The sequence below is a fragment of the Homo sapiens genome, chromosome X, assembly GCF_000001405.40.
Source record: "Homo sapiens chromosome X, GRCh38.p14 Primary Assembly".
Taxonomy (NCBI): domain Eukaryota; kingdom Metazoa; phylum Chordata; class Mammalia; order Primates; family Hominidae; genus Homo; species Homo sapiens.
Genome location: NC_000023.11, coordinates 68,400,595 through 68,425,441, shown reverse-complemented (window position 1 = coordinate 68,425,441; position 24,847 = coordinate 68,400,595). Strand labels below are relative to the sequence as shown.

General features: G+C 41.1%; 1 protein-coding gene across 6 annotated transcripts in view, besides 1 other annotated feature; it reads left to right on the top strand.

Moving 5' to 3' along the window:
- Nucleotides 1-24,847, top strand: part of OPHN1 (oligophrenin 1) — a 391,498-nt gene that overhangs the window by 8,400 nt on the left and 358,251 nt on the right. The gene's annotated exons all lie outside the window — the stretch shown is intronic.
- Nucleotides 9,821-10,115: a silencer, noted in NCBI's record as "tiled region #7273; HepG2 Repressive non-DNase unmatched - State 24:Quies". NCBI's record gives its function as "represses a minimal TATA promoter and a strong SV40 promoter by Sharpr-MPRA in HepG2 cells {active_cell/tissue: HepG2}" and the evidence as "EXISTENCE:reporter gene assay evidence [ECO:0000049][PMID:27701403]".

Here is a 24,847-nt window from a genome sequence, read left to right as displayed (position 1 = left end):
ATTAGAGGCTTGGTCAATAATATTTACGGTTCTTTCTGGTTTTATTATTTTGTTTTCTGGCTACCACCATGCTAGTCAAATGGTCAAACAATGTGAATTGATTCTATCATAAACTTTAGGAGCCAATTCATCTTCACTCTGGGAGAATAGGCAAAGGGAAAATCCAAGTAGTATGTCCAGCATGAGTAGATGACTTGCTGACCTACTTGACTATCCTCTCATTGAATGCTTCTTGGTAGGTCTCCACCTGATTCCCTTCAGTTCTGTTCTGAATAGCTCTATACTGAGGGACCCCAAAGCTTTTAATCCCTTTGGGATGGGTGTAGTGCCATGGTGTGCGGGAGGAGTTGGTGATATAATATGCATTCTTGCTCAGCAGGTATCTTGTCATTTTCCCAGTGATATTTAATCAGTGCCTCTGAGCACATGGAGTTATTTTACATCTTCTCCAGAGTAACTCAGATCAATATAATGGGTATGTCATTTGGTACTGCTGTTAGTATTAATAGATGTGAAGCAATGCTAAATGGAATTTGACAGAGGTGATATATTGCCATATTCATTGGAGTTCCTCACAAGACCAGATTCCAGAGTAGCTGGACTGTGGCTGCTGTGGGAACTAGGATTGAAAAGTGAACCAAGCCAACCTTTCAGTGTGTCCATTTATAAGAAACTATTCTTATTTGGGAGTAGAGGATGGTGCCAGGCTGGGGTAGGGAAGATTTTAGCTTGACTTGCCTGTTAAGAAAAGTTTTCCAATCAGACTCTAGAGTGATGAAGGAACTTTACCTTTCAGCCTCATTTTTATAGCCTTATTTTTTTTAAGCATAGCCAAAACCTTTTGTTTAATCTGGCATCTGTTTCTCTAATCAGTTACTACAGAAATTTCCTAAAAGCCTATGAGGATCTGGAAAGTTACACACTTTTCCATGGGAGTACCCTGGAAATCTTGAGCTGATTTTATTTTCTAGTGGAGTGGAAGGCCCTCATGATCCTTTACCAGGCTTGTATCAAGTGCTAAACCTTGGGCAATGTAAAGGCAATTCAGTTTAATTCAAGAAGGTTTTACTAAGCACCTACTATGTGTCAGGTACTGTCCTGGAAACTGGGGATACAGTGGTGAATAAGAATACTATAGACTCTGCCCTTTTGGAACATATGTTAAATATCAAATTACCCTCTTAAATAATTAATTACAATTGTGAGAAGAGTATGAAGAGGAAATTCAGTGTGTGATTTTTTTTTTATTTTTATTTTTATTTATTTATTTATTTTGAGATGGAGTCTAGCTCTGTTGCCCAGGCTGGAGTGCAGTGGCACGATCTTGACTCACTGCAACCTCCGCCTCCTGGGTTCAAACGGTTCTCCTGCCTCAGCCTCCTGAGTAGCTCGGATTATAGGTGTCCGCCACCACGCCCGGCTAATTTTTGTATTTTCAGTAGAAACGGGGTTTCACCATGTTGGCCAGACTGGTGTCGAACTCCTGACCTCAGGTGATCAGCCCACCTCGGCCTCTGAAAGTGCTGGAATTACAGGCGTGAGCCACCATGACTGGCCCATAGTAGAATTATTTATAATGGCCAAAAAGTGGAAACAACCTCTAAATGTCCATCAACTGAAAAATGGATAAATAAAAGGTAGTATAGACATACAATGGAATAGTATTTGGCAATAAAAAGTAATGAAGTACTGACACATGGTACAATAAGGATGAACTTTGAAAACCTTAGGATAAGTGAGAAAAGTGTTATAAATGACTACCTATTGTTCATGATTCCTTTCATATGAAATGTCCAGATAAGCAGATCTATTAGAGAGAGTATCAGGTTAGTGATTGCTAAGCTGGGGGGTTGGAATGTATTGGGACTGCTAATGGGTAAAGGGTTTCTCTTTGGGGTCATGAACATTTTTTAAGATTGGATTGCAGTGATGGTTGTACAGCTCTGTGAGCCATTTTATGGTGTGTGAGTCGTATCTCAGAGCTGTTTGAAAAAAAAAAAAACATTGTGTTTGGAGAAACAGGTGACAGGCGCTTGTCTTATATACCTATATCTTCCTTTAGCTCTATCTTATAGAACATCAGACCTGGAAGGTTGTTTAGAAAGCTACACATCTATGGCTGGGCGCGGTGGCTCATGCCTGTAATCCCAGCACTTTGGGAGGCCGAGGCGGGCAGATCACGAGGTCAGGAGATAGAGACCATCCTGGCTAACACGGCAAAACCCTGTCTCTACTAAAAATACAAAATATTAGCTGGGCGTGGTGGTGGGCGCCTGTAGTCCCAGCTACTCAGGAGGCTGAGGCAGGAGAATGGAGTGAACCCAGGAGGCGGAGCTTGCAGTGAGCCGAGATCGAGCCATTACACTCCAACCTGGGCAACACAGCGAGACTCCGTCTCAAAAAAAGAAAAAAAAAAAAAAAAAGAAAGCTACATATCTACTCCACTGGGTTTATATGTAGGGAAAAGAAAGTCAAGACAGAGAGTTACTTCTCCAGAGACCTAGAGCTAGAGTCGGAATTGTGACCAGAATCAGATTTCCTGGTTTCCCTTTCCAAGGCCTTTTCTTTTCTTTTCTTTTTTCTTTTCTTTTCTCTTTTCCTTTCCTCTTTCTCTTTCTTTCTTTCTTTTTCCCTCCCTCCCTCCCTCCCTCCCTCTCTCTCTTTCTTTCTTCCCTTTCCCTTTCTTCTTTCATCCTTCCTTCCTTCCTTCCTTCCTTCCTTTCTTTCTTTCTCTCTCTCTCTTTCCTTCTTTCTCTTTCTTCCCTTTCCCTTTCTTCTTCTTTCCTCCCTCCCTCCTTCCTTCCTTCCTTTTTCTTTCTTTCTCTCTCTCTTTTTCTTTTCTTTTTCTTTCTTTCTTCCCTCCCTTCTTTCTTTCCTCCCTCCCTCCCTCCTTCCCTTCCTTCCTTCTTTCTTTCTTTTTCTTTCTCTTTCTTTTTCTTTCTCTCCCTCTCTCTCTCTTTCTGTCTGTCTTTCCTCATTGCAACCTTGAATCCCAACCCCAAGCGATACTCCCACCTCAGCCTCCCAAGTAGCTGGGACCACAGGCACGTGCCACCATGCCTGGCTAATTTTTAAATTTTTTGTAGCGATGGGATTTTGTTGTCTTGTTGCCCAGGGTGCTCTCAAACTCCTGGGCTCAAGCGATCCTCCACCTCAGCCTCCCAAAGTGCTGGGTCCAAGGCTCTTTCTGCAAGCAGGTAGCTTGCATTTCAACTGTCTTGATGTTCTTTATCGGGGCTAGGGGTGCTTTTGTTTGAAATGACCCAGATGGCAGCAAAAATTGCATTAGTGGAAGGTTTCTTTTCAGTATTTCCTCCCCATTAGGGCTAGGATCAAGTGATTTCCCTGTTGAGCAATCTAGCTCAGTTTAATTAGGGTCTGGTTGTGTTCTGTTTCCTTTGTCATAGAATAATGGCAATACATCTTGGTGGTGTGATACCTGTCCTCTTTGTTTTCTGCCCCAAGAGCCTACACCAGCTGGTTGAGCAGTTCCCAAAGTCTCCCCTCTTTGCTCATCTGTCGACCTCTTAGGGCAAACACAGCTGCTTTTCATGTAGTGAGTAGTATATATTGGGAAACGTGTGGCATTACTAACGAGTGACAAAGTCCTTCCCCATATTATTTTTATCCTAAGGCAGCTTGGAATTTTTCACAAGTGGTGAGCAGTAAGTCCAGCACTATAGTGCCATATGAGGAACTCCAAGGCAGTTCTTTACAAAAGGTTTTCATTAAGGACTTCCCAGAAGCAGGAGGGCCACACTTCAACTTCCAACTCTTTCCAGAGCCAGGCTGTCATGGAAAAGCTTTTCTCTGTGATTGGAAAAATATATATTATGTATGTGGCAATTGACAGCTGGAGACTAATCTTGAATTCATCCATCCTGAATTCATTAGGTGGGAGGAAGAGGGTGGGTAATAAGGCATTGAGGTGTTTTATAGCTGCCCCTTACAACTTTTGTTGAGTACAGAAAAAAAACAAAAAACAAACCTGGAGCATTGTAAAGAAAATGCCTCTGCCACCATCATCACTATGCTGAATTTCTTTTGCTCTAAAACATGGGAAATATTGATTTTTTTCCCTGTTTGGTTGATGTGGAGAGGTTTGTCTTCTAGAATCCATGCCCAGTATTTGAGGGATTATGGGGATGATTGTTCTGTAATGGCATTAAATGGGAAAGCTAGGGGTACCAGTGTGCTAATTGGGTAACAACTCAGCCAGGGATTGGATAACAATGAAAGCAGAGTAGAAGGGGAGGGAAAGCTGGGGCTTCTTGGAATTTTGTTTGCTTTTGCTTTGTGAAGAGCAGATGCTATTTGTATTTAACAATTTCCTTTTCTTTGACTAATCGGCAGTATCTTGCTGGAATTGGACTCAGAGTTCGAGGGGCCTTTTCAACATTTCATTTAATGCCTTCATATTTCAGATGAGGAAACCGAAGCCTATGAGGGGTGTTCCTTGTCCAAGGTCACAGAGCCAGTTAGTCACAAAATCAGTACTGAAACCAATAATCGGTCCTACTGTGCTTCATGAAAACAGTTTCTACCCTTCAGGAACTCTCTTTGCTGAGACTGTGATTTTTTTTTTTTTTTTTTTCTGTTGAGAATCACTTTCAGCTTGTGAAAGAAAGAAAAGAGTTGTTTTTTCTTCAATGCATCTTGCCAAGAATGCACGTTCAGTGTCAGCCTGAAGGCAGCCAAGCATTTTACAGACCTGCAGGAATGAAGTAGGGGAAGGTTCAGGGAGTCTGAAGTTACTTCTGGAGTTTTTCTGGTTAGCCTTTGCCTAGTAGGAGCTTGATAAAAATAGAAGATCAAGAGACAGACCTTCTATAATAGATCTTTCCCCCAAATATGTGAAATCTAGAGAATCCATTTATGAATGAGGAAGAAGCAACTCTAATACAAATTGAGTTGGGTTTTAGGATGTGGATATATAGGTAGATGTAGGTATAAACTGCCATTTGCAAAGCTCTTTACAGTATACCAGGCACTTTAACATACATTCTATAACTAAACAGGGAAGAAATGTGTTAAATTACCTCCAATTTATAGATGAGGAAACTAAGATTTAGAGAACCTAGGTACTTCCCTAAGATTGCATAGCTAGTCAGTAGTTGAGCCAAGACTTAGATTTTCTGTGTATTCTTTCCACGGTTCCCCATTGTTTTTATTCCCTTTAGTGATGAAAGAGAATATAAGTGCTGTACAGAAGAATACATAGTTCAGAAAGTAGAAGTGTCAAGAAGACATCTGGGGCCTTCTGTAGAGAAACGGAAGTAGCCGTCTGTACACATACCCATAGGAAGTGGTGGCCATTAGAAAATGTTTGAAAGCTGGAGAACAGCATTAGAGAAGTGGGTAGCTGACAGGGCTGAGACACCTGAGCTTGTGGTAAGAATTTCTATGTGCTATTCTGTGAAGGCTGCTGAGGAAGACAGTCCAGACCAAGGTAGATGTCTTTAAAGGAGAATTGCCTGAAGCCAGTGAGGTGGTTAAAAAAAATTGGGGAAGATGCATATTGGTGATAAAGGAGGGAGTAACCTTGGGCATTTTTCATTACGTCTTTAGGGTGGAAAAAAACTAGAAAATTATAAAGTAGTGGTGGGGCGTGGTGGCTCACGTCCATAATACCAGGACTTTGGGAGGCCCAGATGGGGCAGATTGCTGGAGCTCAGTAGTTCGAGACCAGCCTGGCCAACATGGTGAAATCCTGCCTGTACAAAAAATACAAAATTTAGCCAAGTATGGTGGCGCTCACTTGTAATCTCAACTACTCAGGAGGCTGAGGTGGGAGGATGGCTTGAGCCCAGGAGGCAGAGGTTGCAGTGAGCCGTGATCACACCACTGCACTCCAGCCTGGTTGACAGAGCCAGACCTTGTCTCAAAAAAAAAAAAAAAAAAAATTGTTAAGGAGTTAAGAAAGAGGAAAAGTAGGATGGTATTTTATAGACTACTTGCTTTTTTATTCTAGAAGTTTCATAGATGGTGCAGACATCATTTAGCCCAAGTTACCTGTGAATGTTGAGTTTGGGGATGATTGTTCTGTAATGGTACTAAATGGGGAAGTGCGGGGTGCCAGTGTGCTAATTGAGTAACAACTTAGCCAGGAATTGGATGGCCACGCTAGCAGAGTAGCAGAGGAGAGAAAGGCCATAATCCCAGCACTTTGGGAGGCCGAGGCGGGCAGATCACTTGAGGTCAGGAGTTCAAGACCAGCCTGGCCAACATGGTGAAACCCCTGTCTCTACTAAAAATACAAAAAAAAAATTAGCTGGGCATGGTGGCAGGCACCTGTAATCCCAGCTACTTCGAAGGCTGAGGCAGGAGAATCGCTTGAACCCGGGAGGCGGAGGTTGCAGTGAGCCGAGATCGCACCACTGCACTCTAGCCTGGGTGACAGAGAAAAACTCCATCTCAAAAAAACAAACAAACAACAACAACAAAAAATTTAAAAAAAAAGAAGTGGAGGGAAAGCTGGGGCTTCTATCTTGCTTGGAACCAGTTTCATCCTTAAATGGAGTTGTGTGTTTGTAGTGATACCACACATAATACTTCGTAAAAATAATCACAGTATAATTTCCTTCTTAGTATTTTTCAGTTCAACAAGTTTCACCTATGATCTCGATTTGATCTTTACAACAACCCTTTGAACTAATCAGGCAGGGCATTATTAGTGCTCTCAGACAGGTGAAGTCACCAAGGGCAGATAATGGTCCCTTGTTTTACAGATGAGGAAATTTAAATTCAGAGAAGTTATTTGCTCAAAATTGTTCCACTAGTGTGTGGCAAGTTGGGATTCAAACCCAGATCTTCTGGCTCCTAGAGGTGGAAAATTTTTTACTATATTATGATGTATTATAGAAGGAGGTCAATGGTTATGCCTTGTAGGGTGCGTTTGGGAAGTCTGCGTCTCTGGGCCTTCCTGTATGGTGTCTTGCCATTGTAGTTACCTGATTCTCCCTGATGTCTGTCCCAGCTGGCCTGGCTTTGCACTCAGCCCTCTCCTGCTCCTTGAGCCTCTCCTCCTAATACCATCTTTGCACACAGCTCAGTCTCTGTAAAACCCTGTCATGTATCCTCCTCGGGGTTGCCTGTGTCTGCCAGTATCTCCTTTTCCCTCTAGGACCTGAGGAAGCCCTCTTAGAGACCTTGCCTTATTGTGCATTGTTTTGAAAATTGCCCTCCTAGCCAGCCATCCCTGCTCTAATGATTCACCTTCAAACTGTGATTTCAAGTCTTTTGGATCTTCTTATGCCATGTGTTAGGCAGCCTCTGACATTCAGAGGGGCTCATAAATATAGGTATGCTATGGTAGTATATTTAGGACCAGTTCTTTTGCCTCCTTCTTACCCATATGCCTTTAATCAGCTTCTGCTCCTCTGGCAATATGGGCATAATTGGCATGTGTTTTCAGCAGAGCTCATTATAGAGATTTCCATTGCAGCAGGCAATTTTGTACAAGCCCCTGTCTGACATTATTACCAAAGCTATTGCCGTTGTTTTGTCAGGTCTAACAAGTCCAGCAAGGTCTGGCTGATTGAAGCATTCATTGAATTGGCCACTGGGCAAGGAGGCGGTTGCTTGGCAGTTCTTCTCTTCAGGGAGGGTTTCCTTTTTTAGTAGCAGTCTTACCTCTAAGGAGTCAGCAGCTCCCTTTAGAACTGGCTTTCCCAAAGTGTGTTTCCCCACCCTTCCACCCAGTGGCTTCCAGTTGTTCTGAAAGCTGCTGGTCAACTGTGCCTTTAATATTTCTAATGGCAGGAGTTAATAATGTGATGTTTAATAGAAAACATGTGTCATCCTATTGGCACACCAGAGAAGGCAGCTCTGGTCTCTCCATTAAACCAGCAAAGATTTTTGTTTTTTAATGGTGATAAGTAGAAATAAGTATATGGGATACCCACAGGTATCTTTTACTTTGAAGTCTTTTGTAGCTTCTGCTTTTGAGAATAACTGATAGAGGGAAACTTCTTAGCCTTGCACCTTTGCTTTTTGCTCCTTTCCAGAAGTCCTGGGCAGAAGAGAGAGGGGATAAGGAATAGTCACTTGAGGTTGGGCGTGGTGGCTCACGCCTATAATCTCAGCACTTTGGGAGGCCAAATGGGTGGATCACCTGAGGTCAGGAGTTCCAGACAAGCCTGGGCTACATGGCAAAACTCCGTATCTACTAAAAATACAAAAATTAGCTGGGTGTGGTGGCATGCACCTGTAATCCCAGCTATTTGGGAGGCTGAGGCAGAGTTGCTTGAACCCCAGAGGTGGAAGTTGCAGTGAGCCGAGATCGCGCCACTGCATTGCAGCCTTCATGACAGAGTAAGTCTCCATCTCAAAATAAATAAATAAATAAATAAATAAATAAATAAATATAAAAAGGAATAGTAACTCGATTTCTCAAGGAGATCTATTTGTAGTAAAGCAGGAGCCAGCATGCTGTGGCTCATGGCCAAATCCTGTCCACCTCCTCTTTTCGTAAATAATGTCTGTTTTCATAAATAACGTTTTATTGGCACATAGCCACACCTATTTGTTTATATATTGTCTGTGACTGCTTTTGCAATAAAGTGGCAGAATTGAGTCATTGCAATAGATACAGAATAGCCCTCCAAGACTAAAACAGGCTGTGCAACATTAATTGGCTGTTGTTGGGTGGGGCAGGGCATTGAGTTCCTTAAGTGTTCCTTGGACCTTCTTGTTTGTGTCCAGCTTCTGCTGAGTTTGTGTAGAGAGGTATGCAGGGAAGTGGTTTTGGAAATGACCTATTCCCGCATACATAATGAAAGCTTGGAATGCAGGTTGTGCTATGAGGTGTTTTCCTGTTTGAATGGGCAAAGTGTTCATCATCAGAGATGTATTCCTATTGCCTACCCCGGGGCCTGACACAGTCTCAGTTCTGATCTCAAGAAACTCTCATACAGGGGTTTTGCTTTTCCCAGTGGGCATTCAGAAACACACTGGTTCACTAGCGCAGAAACAGTTCATCCTTTTTGACTGTCTGTCTTTGTGTATTTGGTCACGAACTCCTTTTTCCTCTTTCCCATTATAGATAGTCGATGGGATTTTTCACAAAGCCCTTGAATAGTTTGTATGTGTTTGTTGATTTTGAACTTTGAACTGGTATATATATAATACCAGCACTTTGGGAGGCCCAGGTGGGGCAGATTGCTTGAGTTCAGTAGTTCGAGACCAGCTAGGCCAACATGGTGAAATCCTGCCTGTACAAAAAAATGCAAAAATTAGCCAAGCATGGTGATGGTCGCCTGTAATCCCACTACTCAGGAGGCTGAGGTGGGAGGATGGCTTGAGCCCAGAAGGCAGAAGTTTCAGTGAGCGCTCTCTCTCTCTCTCTCTCTCTCTCTCTCTCTCTCTCTCTCTCTATATATATATATATATATATATATATATATATATTATATAATTTTTTTTTTTTGAGACGGAGTCTTGCTCTGTCACCCAGGCTGGAGTGCAGTGGCACGATCTCAGCTCATTGCAACCTCCACCTCCTGGGTTCGAGCAATACTCCTGCCTCAGCCTCCCGAGTCGCTGGGACTACAGGTATTCACCATTACACCTGGCTAATTTTTGTATTTTTAGTAGAGATGGGGTTTCACCATGTTGGCCAGGCTGATTTCAAACTCCTGGCCCCAGGTGATCTGCCTGCGGTGGCCTCCCAAAGTGTTGGGATTACAGGCATGGGCCACCACACCCAGCCTTGAACTGGTATATTAAGCCCTAAAGTGTATTATACAATTGGGTAATATATAAGCAGTCTGAAGCTCCGTTGGCAGAGAAACCCATGGTTTTTGATATGTTATTTGTCATAAGCTAACAGGGACCTTTTTCTCTCTTTGACACAGTTGGGAAGTTCTTTATTAAAGGGGCCAGACAGCAGTTCCCTTTATAGTTAATAATGATGTAATACACCAAGTAGTGAAGGCTACAGGACAGGAGCCACAGAAGTCACCACAGGGCACATTGCCCAGTCAAGCTTTCTCCAGCTGGTCAGATAATATTTCACTGAGGTCTAAAGAGAAGAAATGTTATGAACAGGAGCAACTCTCTGCTTCCCTGACTCTTAATTCCTTCTGATTGATTGGTATGATCTTGTTATTTCAGGATGATTATTTTAGTATGATTTAATACAGATTTAAAAAATATGGCAGTTATAAGTTTCTATCTCATGTTATTCATGGTACCTTTTCAAAATGGAGCAATCTGGCCTCCAAAATCTAGCTATAGAGAATAATCACAGGTTCCCATGTGTAAGTAGGGCAAAGAGAATCAGAATTACAATATTAGAAAGAGTCTTGAGAGGTCATGGAGTCAACTCCTCTGCTTCCTAGCCACCTAAATCAGCCAAGACAGACGTGGCTAGAGAAAGAATGGAATTAGATTGTTGCCTTGTAGATGTCTTCCATCTTTAACTCTGTCCTTTTGAGAGCAGTAGAAACTAGTTTGGAAGGGGAAATGCTAACTTTTGGACTGCAGGGCTTTAATTAAGTCTTCTTCTTTTTTTATTCTTATGCACCTAAAGAACATTTGGGACTAAAGTGGTTAAAGACATAGTCTTGGTTGAAGTTAGGTTACTGAGCTTAGGTTTCAGCATATTCTCTGTCTAGGAAATTGAGCTCATCAGCAAGTAATGGTAATGGGAAGGCTTAGCACAATGGCATTTAGTTGCCAGAATGACCATTGGCTTGGGAGGCACACAGATCTGGGTTTGAATTCCCTATTTACTATCTGGGTGGCATTTGAACAAGCTATGAACTTCTTAAAGTTTCAGTTTCCTCAATTATAAATGGAGACAGTAATACCAACCTTGGTTATAGAAGGTATACATGAAATAACATATTTGAAAGTAATATACTCTTAATAAATGTTAGTCTCTACTGTTTAAGTATATATTTTAAAAAAACATACTTATGACAGTGCTTGTGCCATAAACAAACTTAAATTGTAGTAATTAATAACTTAATTGGTGTTTGGATATGGCTTATGACTTGAAAATTCAAGAATATACTTCACAAAGAGAAGAGAAAAGGAATATGAGTGCATATTTCTCATAGTCACACAGCCTTACCCATATTCCAATGACAGTAAAGTGGGGACTGATCAGAAAGCCTTCTGGGATAGCATATAACAGCAGCCACACTCACCAATAAGGTATTGGTATGCCTGATCCTCTCCTCCTTTTCAGTAATAACCATTTGAGAAAGATTAGCATTGTTATTTATAGTGCTCTTGGGTCTGATGTTATATCATTGTGGTTCTACTGGCACTGAGAAAGGGAACAATCTTTAGTTCTGGTCAACGTGCCTAACATAACTCCTGGCCCTCAGTAGTCTCTAAGTATTTTATTTGAATGAATTAATAAGACCCTATTTTACAGGAGATAAATTGAGACAGAACGGTTAAGTGGCTCATCTAAGGATTAAGAGAGACAGAGTTCTTGTCAATAATGGGACCTGGTCTACTGCCTTGGTTCTTAACACATATTCTTCCCTTTCCAGGCTGTCTTATCCCATGAATATTGTGTAATACACTGTAAAGAGACTTCCTTCCCCCTTATGAGCTGGTGATTTGCTTGTACCTAAATTAAGAGAGTAGGTTAAAGATGCAATGAGAGTGCTTTATGGCAATTCAAAGTATAATGTTTTCTCTAGGATTTCTTTCATTTTGTTTGTTTGTTTGTTGTTTTTTTGTAGAGATGGGGGTCTCATTATATTGCTCAGGCTAGTCTTGAACTCCTGGGCTCAAGTGATCCTCCTGCCTTGGCTTCCCAAAGTGCTGGGATTACAGGTATGAGCCACTGAACCTGCCCTATCTAGGATTTCTTAGTTTTTGGAATTGCAACAGAGAGGGATAACCCCTTTTTTGCATGTTTTGTCAGAGCTGAGGTTGAACAAAGGGCCCTGGGTGGGCGTGTGGGGAAGGATAGGTGGTTACGGCATGGATTTTATAGGCAGATGGTGTTGGCTTGGAAGAAAATCACAGTAACAGTAACATGTGGGTGTGGGTGTAGAGGGATATCTTCTTTTCCAGCACTGTATCTTTGAATCTGCCCACCTTCCCCTGAGAATTGGCTTTGATTACCTTGATGTTGGTTATTCTGATAGACGAAGCTGCAGGGCAGGGCTAATGTACATTAATGGAGATGTGTGTATAAATCATCTCACAGAATATACAGACATCCTCTGTCTCTAGAAAGTTGGCCTCTTTTTGAACTTCTCACTATGTCCTAGTTGTTACAGAAGTAATTTAGAAACCCCAGAAGAAATATATAAATAGGGTCTATTGCATACTGGGCCTGAACAAGCTGGAGAGGAATAATTTCACATTTGATGGCAGGCTATTTTACTTGTTTGTCTTTCTTCTCCCTTTGCTTCCTGCCTTGCTTTGAGTGACTGCAGAAGCTTTTTGTGATTGTAGGGAGCCTTGGCCAATGTGGGAATAGGACCCAGGAATTCAAATTTCTCACCTGACATCTGCAGTACCTTCAGAATGCTTCTGAAACTGATATAAATGAAGAAATACTCCAAAAGATTACTATTGAACAACAAAATAAAAACTTTCACATGATAAACCATATTTAGTCGCATTCTTCCCTTTTCAGGCCCCAAGTATATAGCTGAGATGGGTCTAGTGTCTTTCTTTTTATGTACCATTTTAGGCAAGTTCTTCTCAGTTTATAAATAGACTTTTCATTCTCAACCCTTCTTATGTGGGCAAGAAAAAGGATTTGTTTAATAGAGTCTGATAAATAATTTTTAATTGTTTTAAATTGTGATAAAATATACATAACATAAAGGTACCATCTTAATCATTTTTAAGTCTTTGGTTCAGTGGGATTAAGTACATTCATATTGTTGTATAACCATCACCACCACCCATCTCCAGAACTCTTATCGTCTTGTAAAATTAAAACTATACACGTTAAACTTTAACTCCCCATTCCCAGCTGCCCTCAGCCCCTGGCATCCATTGTTCTACTTTCTGTCTTTATGAATTTGACTACTCTATAAATGGAAGTACCTCATGTAAAGGAAAGTATACAGTTTTTGGCTGGCCTGCTGTGACTGGTTTATTTCACTTAGCATAATGTTCTTAAGGTTCATCTGAAGGAAACAAAAATATTTCACCTGAAAATATACGTCTTTGTCATATTTTAAGATGACTGTTCAGAGCACCAGTAAACAGAAGTAGCCCTGCAAAGCTGTCTTTTTGGGGACATTTGCAGCTGTAGGGAAAATCTGCACTGATATAGCCAGGTTTTTTTCTGAGGCCCTCCCTTGTCCAGATCTAGGAAAGATTAACTGAGAGTCTGACACCTATAAAGGTCTGAATAAACATTCACCATCTATTCTCTCTGAGGGCTCTGCCTGTGAAGTTTTATCTATATAACAAGACCACTTCTGCTAGCCAGGCCTCCTCTTCTCCCCCTGTTCTGCCACCATAACCTGATTTTCCACCATAACCTGTTTTTGGCCATGCCTCGAGGGAGTTTCCATTCTTTCTGTAACCTCAAGATGGTATAAAAGCGTCAACCCTATACAAACTCTGGAAGAAAATCTCGGAAAATACCATTATGGACATAGGAACAGGCATAGATTTCATGACAAAGACACCAAAAGCAATTGCAATAAAACAAAAAAATTGACAAATGGGACCTAATTAGGCTAAAGAGCTTCTGTGCAGCAAATAAAACTATCAACACAGTAAACAGACCAGCTACAGAATGGGAGAATATATTTGCAAACTACACATCCAACAAAGGTCTAATATCCAGAATCTATATGGAAGTTAAACAAATTAACAAGCAGGAAACAGACAGCCTCATTAATAAGTGTATAAAGGACACGACTGACACTTTTCAAAAGAAGACATATACGGGGCCAACAAGCCTATGAAAAAATGCTCAGCATCGCTGATTATTAGAGAAATGTAAACCAAAACCACAGTGAGATACCATTTCACCCCAGTCAGAATGGCTATTATTAAAAAGTCAAAAAATAACAGATGCTGGCAAGGTTGTGGAGAAAAGGGATCACTTATACAGTGGTTCAGCCACTTCGGAAAGCAGTTTGGAGATTTCTCAAAGAACTTAGAACAGAACTACCACCATTCGACCCAACAATCCCATTATTGGGAAATTATTGGGTGAGGGTTGAAAAACTACCTATTGTACTATGCTTATTACGTGGGTGACAAAATAATCTGTACACCAAACCCCCGTGACATGCAATTTAACTATATAATAAACCTGCACTTGTATGCCTGAACCTAAAATAAAAGTTAAAAAAATAAAAGCACCAGCTACCTTGCCTTTCTTTGAATTCTTATATTTTGTATGATTCCTGTGCACATTAATAAATTGTATGCCTTTTCTCCTATTAATTTGCCTTTTGTCAGTTGATTTTTCAGAGAACCAGCAAGGATGGAGGGAGTTTTCCCTTAGCCCTGATACATCCATCTTGTAACATGTGTCAGAATTTCATTTCTTTTTACGGCTGAAATAATATTACATTATGTGCATATACATTTTGTTTATCCATTCACCTATTGATGGACACTTAGGTTGCTTCCACTTTTTGGCTATTGTGAACAATGCCGCTGTGAATATGAGTGTACAAATACCTCTTTGAGACCTTGGCTTTCAACTCTTTTGGGTATATACCCTGCTATGGTGCGAATGTGTATCCCCAAATGCATGTATTGGAAACTTAATCCCCAATGCAACAGTATTAGGAAGTGTAGACTTTTGGGAGATGTTTAGTAATGAGGCCCCTGAGATGTTTAGTAATGAGGCCCCTGTTATTATCAGTGGATTAATACCCTTATAAAAGGGTTTGATGGAAGAAGTTTGTTCTTCCACTTTTTTTTTTTTTGGTGGAGTCTCAGTCTGTCATCCAGGGTGGAGTGCAGTGGCGCTATCTTGGCTCACTGCAACCTCCGTCTCCTGGGTTCAAGCGATTCTCCTGCCGTAGTCTCCTGAGTAGCTGGGATTACAGGCGTGAACCACTGCACTGGCCTTTTTTGTTGTTGTTTTTTTGCTCTTCGGCCTTCTGCCATGTGAGAACACGGCATTCCTCCCCTATGGAGGCAGTGCCATCTTGGAAGCAGAGCCTGGACCATCACCAGACACCTAATTTACCGGCACCTTGGTCTTATATTTCCCAGCCTCCAGAACTGTGAGAAATAAATTTCTGTTCTTTATAAATTACTCAGTCTGTGGTAATTTGTTATAGCATCAGAAATGGACTGAGATATATCCAGTAGTGTAATTGCTGTATCATATAGTAATTCTATTTTTAATTTTTTGAATAACTTGATAAATAATTTTAAAGTTTTCTTCAGGATCCATAATATTTGCATGAACTGACTCATAAAAATGTTGGATTTGCTACTTTGATTCAAACCCATGATTCATTCGGCCAGGGGTTTTGTTTTGGACAGTGGCATTAGGAGATAGTTGATGAAAAGAATGATATTGCTTCACACAGTGATTAGATACCCTGGAAGTCCGAATTTCTCTACATCTTGACCTCATATTAATTTTTCTAACTCCTTCTTAAACCTGTTTATAACTCTAACCCACATAAAGGAGTTTCCTAAGTCTACTCATGAAAATATGACGTTATTTGATTTGTCCTAGAAGTGATTCTTTGAAACTTCAAGAGGAATTTCCAAGTTCTGGTTTTTTAGACTTGCTTAAAAAAGAAAAGTGTATTCACATATCCTTACCTTGTGTGATTTTAAAGATTTGTATTTTCAGCCCTCAGCCCTCAGCCCTCATTCCTCATCTTTGCATACAAAAGAATTGTATTTTTTCTGTTAGCAACCTCACTTAAAAACACATCCCTTGCTTGGTGAGTTTCTTGTCCTCTTTCTGGATCATCTCCAGCTGTCTTATGACATTCTGAACATTGTCCTCAGCATTCTAGGGCATTGCTGAAGCCTATAAAAGAGATTTTGGTCTGCAAAGTTTATAATCCCCTGCCTAGTGATAATCACCTTATTGTTGGGCCTGGGTTTTTTGGAGACAGTTCACAACTCCTCCTCTCCAGGACTGTAGCCAATAAAATGTTCTCCAGAGATAGGGTACTGACAGATGCTCCTGTGTGTTCATGAGAGTCAGTGTGGCCCAGCAGAAAGCACTGGCCTAGGGTTTATAGAATTAGGATTCTAGTCTTAAATCTTTGCTAACCACGCAATCTTAGGTACAGTTCACCTTTTGGTGCCTCAATTTCCCTATATGTGAAATGGGATCAAGAACACCTACCCTGTTCCCCTCACAAGATTATTCTGAGAATCAAGTGAGATCATGGAAATGAAAGTTCTTTCTAATTAAGTGCTGTATGCCTAGAGGAAATGTCGATTGAGACTTAAAGACTATAGGGTGTATCAAGTAATTTTGCTTTTCTGGCTTAATTTTTTTATTTATAAGCCCATGGATTAGTTGCTAATTATTATTATTATCTTTTTTTGAGACGGAGTCTCGCTCTGTTTCCCAGGCTGGAGTGCAGTAGCACGATCTTGGCTCACTGCAGCCTCCGCTTCCCGAGTTCAAGTGATTCTGCTGCCTCAGCCTCCTGAGTAGCTAGGATTACAGGCACACACCACCACGCCTGGCCAATTTTTGTATTTTTAGTAGAGACAAGGTTCGCCCTGTTGGCCAGGCTGGTCTCGAATTCCTTGCCTCAAGTGATCTGCCCACCTCGGCCTCCCGAAGTGCTGGGATTAGAGGCATGAGCCACTGTGTCTGGCCCAGTTGCTAAGTAGAATAAGTGATTTAACATGCACATCAGTTAGAATATTGTCACTGCTGTTACCTCATTATGTTAATACTACTGGACATTTGAAGGTCAGATTTCTAATAATCTCAATATCCAGAATAAAGCTGGGAGTCTAGAGGCTTGCCTTTCCAAAAACGGTCTCTAATAGCTTAAGTGGTTTTCGCTGTGCACTATTCCGTGGGAGAGAATGTTGTCCTGATTTTATTGGCTCTTCATTTAAATTCTGATGTGGTTTCTACCCCTTAGAAATTTAGAAGCAGAATCTAGGGATTTGGAGGTGAAGTGAGGAGTCTAGCACCAGAACTTTGATATGAAAAAGAAGTGACAATGGAATTGAATTGAAGTGTGTGTATGTATTGGGGGAGCCTGAAAATATTGGGGAAAACAGATATAAGGCCTATAAAGCATTGTGCTTTGTGTCTATTTTATGTAGAGTTCAATAGTCCTACATACCTGAGCATTCTTTGAGTATGTGACAGCCTCAGATTGACTGATGTTGTCACAATGATGAAGTGGAGTCATCCAAAAACCATTTAAGAAAGCAGAAAGCTGGGCATGATGGCATATGCCTGTAGTCCTAGCTGCTCAGGAGGCTGAGGCAGGAGGGTTGCTTACGTCCAGGAGTTCGAGTCCAGCCTGGGTAGCATAGTGAGACCTTGTCTCTAAACAACACCACCACCAACAACAAAAAGAATGCAGAAAATTAAATGTTAGCTTAGCTTTCCATTAAAATGGTTAAATTACAAAAGTTCTAAATGTTTGAAGGGATAAACTTTATTTAAATTGAAAATTAACTTTTTGTAATGGATTATTATCTGATAATGCTGAATAAACAGAACATTATTGTATTAATATTTTGACCATTATATTACAAAGGTATTTTTGTTATTTTCTCCATTTGGATAATTTTGTATTGTTATACCTAATTTATAGTAGAGGACATTGACAAGGTATGGTTATGCCAAATTTATGGCATCATTTGGAGAGGAATACATGGTTCTTATTTATTCTGATATGTTACCATGCTATAAATTGTATAAGGTTTTCCTATAGGCATTGTTTCATTTTACCTCCATAATGATCCATTGAGGTACATATCGATGCCCGCATTTTACAGATGGGAATACTGAGGCTTAAGATAGGATCAACATATTCATAAAAGTGGTAGAGCAATGGATTTAAATGTTGGCCTTTTGACTCTAAAGCTGTTGTTTTTTCTAAGTCTTCCACTTAGGTATCATCATTATGCCTTGTGTTTTGGAACAATTCTGTAAAAAAGAACATATAGGCATCATTATCCCTATTTTACCATATGAGCAAATTGAGCTGAAAGATACCAAGTGAGCTGCCCAATGGACACATGATGGCTAGAACCCAGGTCTGTCGATTTCTGGACCATTAACTACTTTATTTTATGTATGTATGTATTTATTTATTTATTTATTTTGAGACGAAGTTTTGTTCTTGTTGCCCAAGCTGGAGTGCAGTGGCATGATCTGGGCTCACTGCAACCTCCGCCTCCCAGGTGCAAGTGATTCTCCTGCCTCAGCCTCCTGAGTAGATGAGATTACAGGTGCACACCACTACGCCCGGCTAATTTTTGTATTTTTAGTAGAGACCGGGTTTCACCATGTTGGTCAGGCTGGTCTTGAACTCCTGACCTCAGGTGATTCACTCGCCTTGTCCTCCCAAAGTGCTGGGATTACAGGCATGAGCCACCATGCCTGGCCCCAGTATCTATTTTAGAAACCATTTTATTTTGAAATAATTTCAAAGTTACAGGGAAGTTACAAAAATAGTACAAAGAACCTCAGTTTATCCTTCAGTCAGATTCACTGATTTTTAAAAAATATTTTGCTCTATTTGTCTTATTCTGTCTCTGATTATTTACATATTATTTTTTCTGGATCATTTTAGATTCAGTTGCATATATTACGACCTTTTCCCTTAAATCCTTCAGCATGTATTTCCCAAGAATAAGGATATTTATTACATATGCATAGTAGAAGTATTAATGTCAGGAATTTAATTTTTTTTTTGGAGATGGAGTCTTACTCTGTTGCACAGGCTGGAGCGCAGTGGTGTGATCTTGGCTCACTGCAACCTCCACCTCCCGGGTTCAAGTGATTCTCCTGCTTCAGCCTCCTGAGTAGCTGGGATTACAGGTGCCCGCCACTATGCCCAGCTAATTTTTGTATTTTTGATAGAAATGGGGTTCCACCATGTTGGCCAGGCTGGTCTCGAACTCCTGACCTCAGGCGATCTGCCCACCTCGGCCTCCCAAAGTGCTGGGATTACAGGCGTGAGCCACCGTGCCTGGCCTCAAAGTCAGGAAATTTAACACTGATATAATACTATTATCTAATCTAAAGTCAATACTAAAATTTAACTAATTGTCCCAATAATATCCTTTTTGTCCCAATAATATCTGTTTTATTTTCTGACCCAGAAAACAGGATTATGAGTTGCATGTAGTTATCACTGGAGTATTGCCTTTTTTTTTTTTGACAGATTCTTGCTCTGTCACCCGGGCTGGAGTTCAGTGGCGTGATCTCAGCTTACTGCAGCCTCTGCCTCCTGGGTTCACGCGATTCTTGTGCCTCAGCCTCCTGAGTAGCTTACTAGATTACAGGCATGTGCCACCACGCCTGGCTATTTTTTTGTATTTTAGTAGAGATGGGGTTTTTACCATGTTGGCCAGGCTGGTCTTGAACTCCTGGCCTCAAGTGATCCACCTGCCCCAGCCTCCCTAAGTGTTGAGATTATAGGTGTGCGCCACTACGCCCAGCCTCATTGCCCTTTATATAATATCTTGTTGCTTCTCTTAGCCCATTATGTCCCAAAAGTTTAGAAAACATTTCTTGGATGAAAGAAGTGCATAAAATAGAGGTTAAAAAATGGGAATGTGGACCCTTTCCTTTTCAGTCACCTCAGGTTGCTTGCATTTTTTTGTGAAAACTCATCTACCACTTAGACCTGATAAAGATCACTTATTCTGCAGCAGCTTCTGCTTCCAACAGAGTGGGGATTTGGGCCCCTCCAAGCTTTTCTGCTGACATCTAGGAAATCCCAGGTGTACACAGGTCTGATCTGAGCTGTAATGCAGGAGTGTGGCTGTGCCAAGCTAGGGAAGAAAGAAAATCACCCCAAAGACTATAATGGGCCAGGCATGGTAGCTCATGTCTGTAATCACAACACATTAGGAGGCCAAGGCAGGAGGATCACTTGAGCCCAGAAGTTTGAGACCAGCCTGGGCAGCATAGTGAGACCTCCGCTCTAAAAAATTTTTTTAAAATTAGCCAGGTGGTGTCATGTGCTCGTATGGGAGGCTGAGGCAGGAGGCTCACTTGAGCCCAGGTGTTTGAAGCTATAGTGAGCTATAATCACACCACTTCATTCCAGCCTGGGCAACAGAGTGACTCAAACAAACAAACAAACAGACTGTAATGAGCAGACTAGGGGAATAGATGGAAGAGCAAATGCTGTACCTGATGTAGGACATTATTATTTCAAATGTGCATCACTTTTATGATAATGTTTGCATCACATACGAATTCTTTTTTTAAAATTGTGGTGAAAAAACACATAACATTAAATTTACCATCTGAACCATTTTTAAATGTACAGTTCAGTAGTGTTAAGTAGATTTACATTGTTGTGCAACAGATCACTAGCTTGTTTTCATCTTGCAACAATGAACCTCTATACCCACTAAATGCTAATTCCCCCTTCTCCCCCCAGCCTTGGCAACTACCTTTCTACTTCCTTTTTCTATGATTTTAACAACTTTTGTTACTTCATATTGGTGGAATCATACAGTATTTGTCTTTTGTGACTGGCTTATTTTGCTTGACATTCTCAGAGTTCTTTCACGTAGCATGTGTCAGAACTTCTTTTCTTTCTTTTTTTGGTTTATTCTTTTTTAAGTTTCTATTCTCCTACCCGAATGTGTCAGAATTTCATTCCTTTTTAAGGCTGCATAATTATTCCTTTGTATGTATATATACCGCATTTTGTTTATCCTTTTACCCATCAATGAACATTTGGGTTGTTTCCAACTCTTGGCTATTGTGAATAATCCTGCAGAGTACATAAGTGTGCAAATACACCTTTGAGATCCTGCTTTGAATTCCTTTGGGTATGTACCCAGAAGTGGGATTGCTGGATTATATGATAATTCTATTTAAAAGTTTTGGCCAGGCGCAGTGGCTCACACCTGTAATCCCAGCACTTTGGGAGGCCAAGGCAGGCAGATCATGAGGTCAAGAGATGGAGACCATCCTGGCCAACATGGTGAAACCCTGTCTTTACTAAAAATACAAAAATTAGCTGGGTGTGGTGGTGCATACCTGTAATCCCATCTACTCGGGAGGCTGAGGCAGGAGAATCGCTTGAACCTGGGAGGCGGAGGTCGCAGTGAACCGAGATCATGCCACTGCACTCCAGACTGGCGACAGAGTGAGACTCTGTCTCAAAAAAAAAAAAAAGTTTTTAGGAACCACCATACTGTTTTCCATAATGGCTGCACCATTTTGGCATCCCATACCAATTCTCTGAAATAGGTAGAGTTGTTATCATTAAGCCTATTGTGCAGATAAAGAAGCTGAATGACTTACATATATACAAAGTTACGCAGCGGTAATGTAAAACTGAGACTTCAACCCAGGTCTCCTGGCTCTGCATTCAGCATCTCATTTCCTCTTATCTTACTCTTCTGCTTGTGCCACCCCTCCAGCGCTCCTCAGACATGACTGTGGCACTTCACTTTTAGCATTTTTCTGAGTCTAGATGGTACAACTGTTTCCTTTGCTCAAGAAATGCCCTCCCCATCAAGCAGTACATCTCGTGCAGTACCTGAGTTCAGAATGCTGCCTCTGTTTAGACTCACCATTGCCCTTTTGCCTTGTTCTCTTGAGCCTAGGATCGTACACAAGGCACATTTGAGGAAGCAGCCAATTGGCACGGCTCTGTGAGTCTCTACAGCAGTAGGTCTATGATAGGGACGTTTATTTTTTAAAGTCGAAAGGCACAATTGCTCTTTGATTTAGTTGCTGAACACTGACCCCCTGCTTAGATTTCTGCAAATTGAAAGCAGCTATCATTTCAACATCAACACCTTCAAAAAGAAAACACGCTTGCACATGCTCAAAAAATTGCTGATCTGTAGGGAAGAGTAGCAATTCCAAAAAAGAAGGCATATGATTTTTATCTTTCAGTAGTAATTAACACTACCCTTCTCTCTAGGAAAGCTTCCTGCCAGGAGTTGTGTCTCCTCTCTGAGTTTAAACTTATTTGCTGCCTTTTTCCTTCCTAGAGATCATCTCAATATTCTATTCCACTTAAAGGCATTTGACACCGGTTCTGTATCTGGGCTCTGAGGCTAATGGTATGAAAGCTTCCAAGACAAACTCCCAAAACTGTAGATTCCTGAATCAAGTGTCTTGCTGGAGTCTGTAGACTTGAAACATTTGGCAGCTGTGCTGCTTTTCCTATTTAACACACAGGGACATTTGGCGGCTAGGACTGTATCTTAATTCTCCATCTTTGGCTTTGCTTTCTTCATCATCTTCCCATCTCACCCATTTCTGATTTGTGCAGTGTTGGCTTGTTCAAATTCTGATCTTTTAGGACACTGTCATTCTTTCTAGGCAGGCTATCAAAATGTTCAGTCTTTACTTCAGATACTCCTGTACACCTCAGATTACACCTCTCTGTGAAAACCTCTCCCCCAATTTTATCTTTTAACGTGTGAGTATGTGCCTATGTTTGTTTTTCTCGGAGAGAAAGATGGTATCTCCCTAGAGTTTAGTTGACTCCCAAAGTTTAAAAACTACTGGCCATATGTGGAACCTGTCTTGGCCCTTTCCATTATCACAATGCCTCAAGTCATTTGCAAACCTGACCTGATAAGCACTCTTCTGAAGATTTTATCAGGACCTATTTCTTTGGTTTCTGGTTCTTGATATGGCACTACCTATAACTCTAACTGGGCTGTTTGAAGAGAACAGATCATGAGGCCCATCAACATAAGATATGCAATAAGATTTCTTTATACTTGGGGTTTAATGATTCAGTTCATACTGACATTAGGCATTATTTACTTTGCCTTTGCTTTGAGTCAAAATCCGGCTAAGCATTTTCCCCACATCCTACTGACTTCTTTATTTTGGTTCATGGTATTTGTAGCCTACCAGTTGGCAAGAATGGAAACCTCAAAGACAGGCTCTTCTCTTTTCTTCTCTTCCTTCTCTTCTCTTCTCTTCTTTCTCTCTTCTTCTTCTTCTTCTCCTTCTCCTTCTCCTCCTTCTTCTTCTTTTTCTTCTTCCTTCTCTTTCTTTCTCTCTTTTCTTTTCTTTTCTTTCTCCCTTCTTTCTTCTCCCCTTCTTTCTTTCTTTCCTCTCTCATGACCCTTACATCCAATAAATGCCTAAGTCTGGTAGATTTACCTCCAGCAGTGTCTTTTGCATTCGTCTCCACCTTTCTCTTGCTCCTTCTTACTGCTACATTTCAAACACTTTTCACTTTTTGCCTGAGAAAACACTAGCCGCCAACTTCTATCCCTTTCTCCTTCGGTTCATTCCATACTGATTCCAGATGAACTGTTTGAAACTAAAGCACTCATCATGCCACTTCCTGTTCAGAAACCTTCAGTGGTTTTCCACACTGCCGGCTTCCTCAAGAAAAGAGTGTGCAGCCTGACCTTCAAGGTTTTCCAGATTATGGGCCTAAGGGTCTTCCAGCATCATCTCCTCTTACTTCCCTTTATATCTTTGGCTATCAAGCTAAATTGGACTCTGCACTGTTCTGCAAACCTGTGTTCAGCTCTGGTTCTCCTCGGTCTCTTTTGCTCAGGCCATTCTTTTTTCCTGGAATGCTCTTACCCCCATACATCTCTGTTTATTGAAGTCTGCCCATCATGCAAGGCCCATCTCAAATCTTACCTTTTCCTTGCATTCTTCCTAGATCTCCCCAACCGAATATGATTTCTTCCTCATTTGAACTCTCTTGGGACAATCTACATCTCCTGATGTTTGTATAATGCTTGGTATTATGCACTCATCTTCACTACTACATTGGATGCTCTTGGAAGATAAAAGTTGTCTCTTAGTAGTCTTGTATCACTGTACAATTGTGTTACTGTACAATTGCGTTACTGTACAATTGTGTTACGGTACAATTTGAAACTTAGGGCCTTGTGTGTATCAGGCTTTTAGAAAGTATTTGTGGAATTGAGTAGAGTTTTATTTAGCTTTCTTTGTAATCCTGGTAGTCTATCTAGAATCTTTCTAGAGCGGGCCAAATGCCACCACCTTTGAGGATATCTTCTCAGTTAGAATTAACCCTTTGTTCCTTGATGTTCACTTACATGTTGTTTACACTGTACTTGTAGCTGTCTGTCTCATTACTAAGTTAGCTGTATTGTGAATATCTCCCTTCCTTCTTTGGAGAGGGATTGGTTCTGATTTATTACTGTATATCTAATATGGTTTGGATTTGTGTCCTCACCCAAATCCCATGTTGAATTGTAATCCCCAATGTTGAAGGTGGTGCCTGGTGGGAAGTGAAAGGATCATGGTGGCAGTTTCTTGTGGTTTAACACCATCCTCCTTGGTGCTGTCGTCATGATAGTGAGCTCTTGTGAGAGCTGATTTTTTAAAAGTGTGTGGCACTTCCCCACCTCTTCTTGCCCCTGCTCTGGCCATGTAGGATGTGCCTGAAAGAAAAAATAACAACAACAAAAGACATGCCTGGCCAGGTGCAGTGGCTCACACTTGTAATACCAGCACTTTAGGAGGCAGAGGCGGGTGAATCATCTGAGGTTGGGAGTTCGAGACCAGCCTGGCCAACATGGCGAAACCCTGTCTTTACTAAAAATAGAAAAATCAGCCAGGCATGGTGGTGCACGCCTGTAATCCCAGCCACTCAGGGGACTGAGGCAGGAGAATTGCTTGAGCCCAGGAGTCGGAGGTTGCAGTGAGCCGAGATCATGCCACAGCACTCCAGCCTGGGCAACAGAGCGAGACTCCATCTCAAAAAAAAAAGAAAAAAGAAAAAAG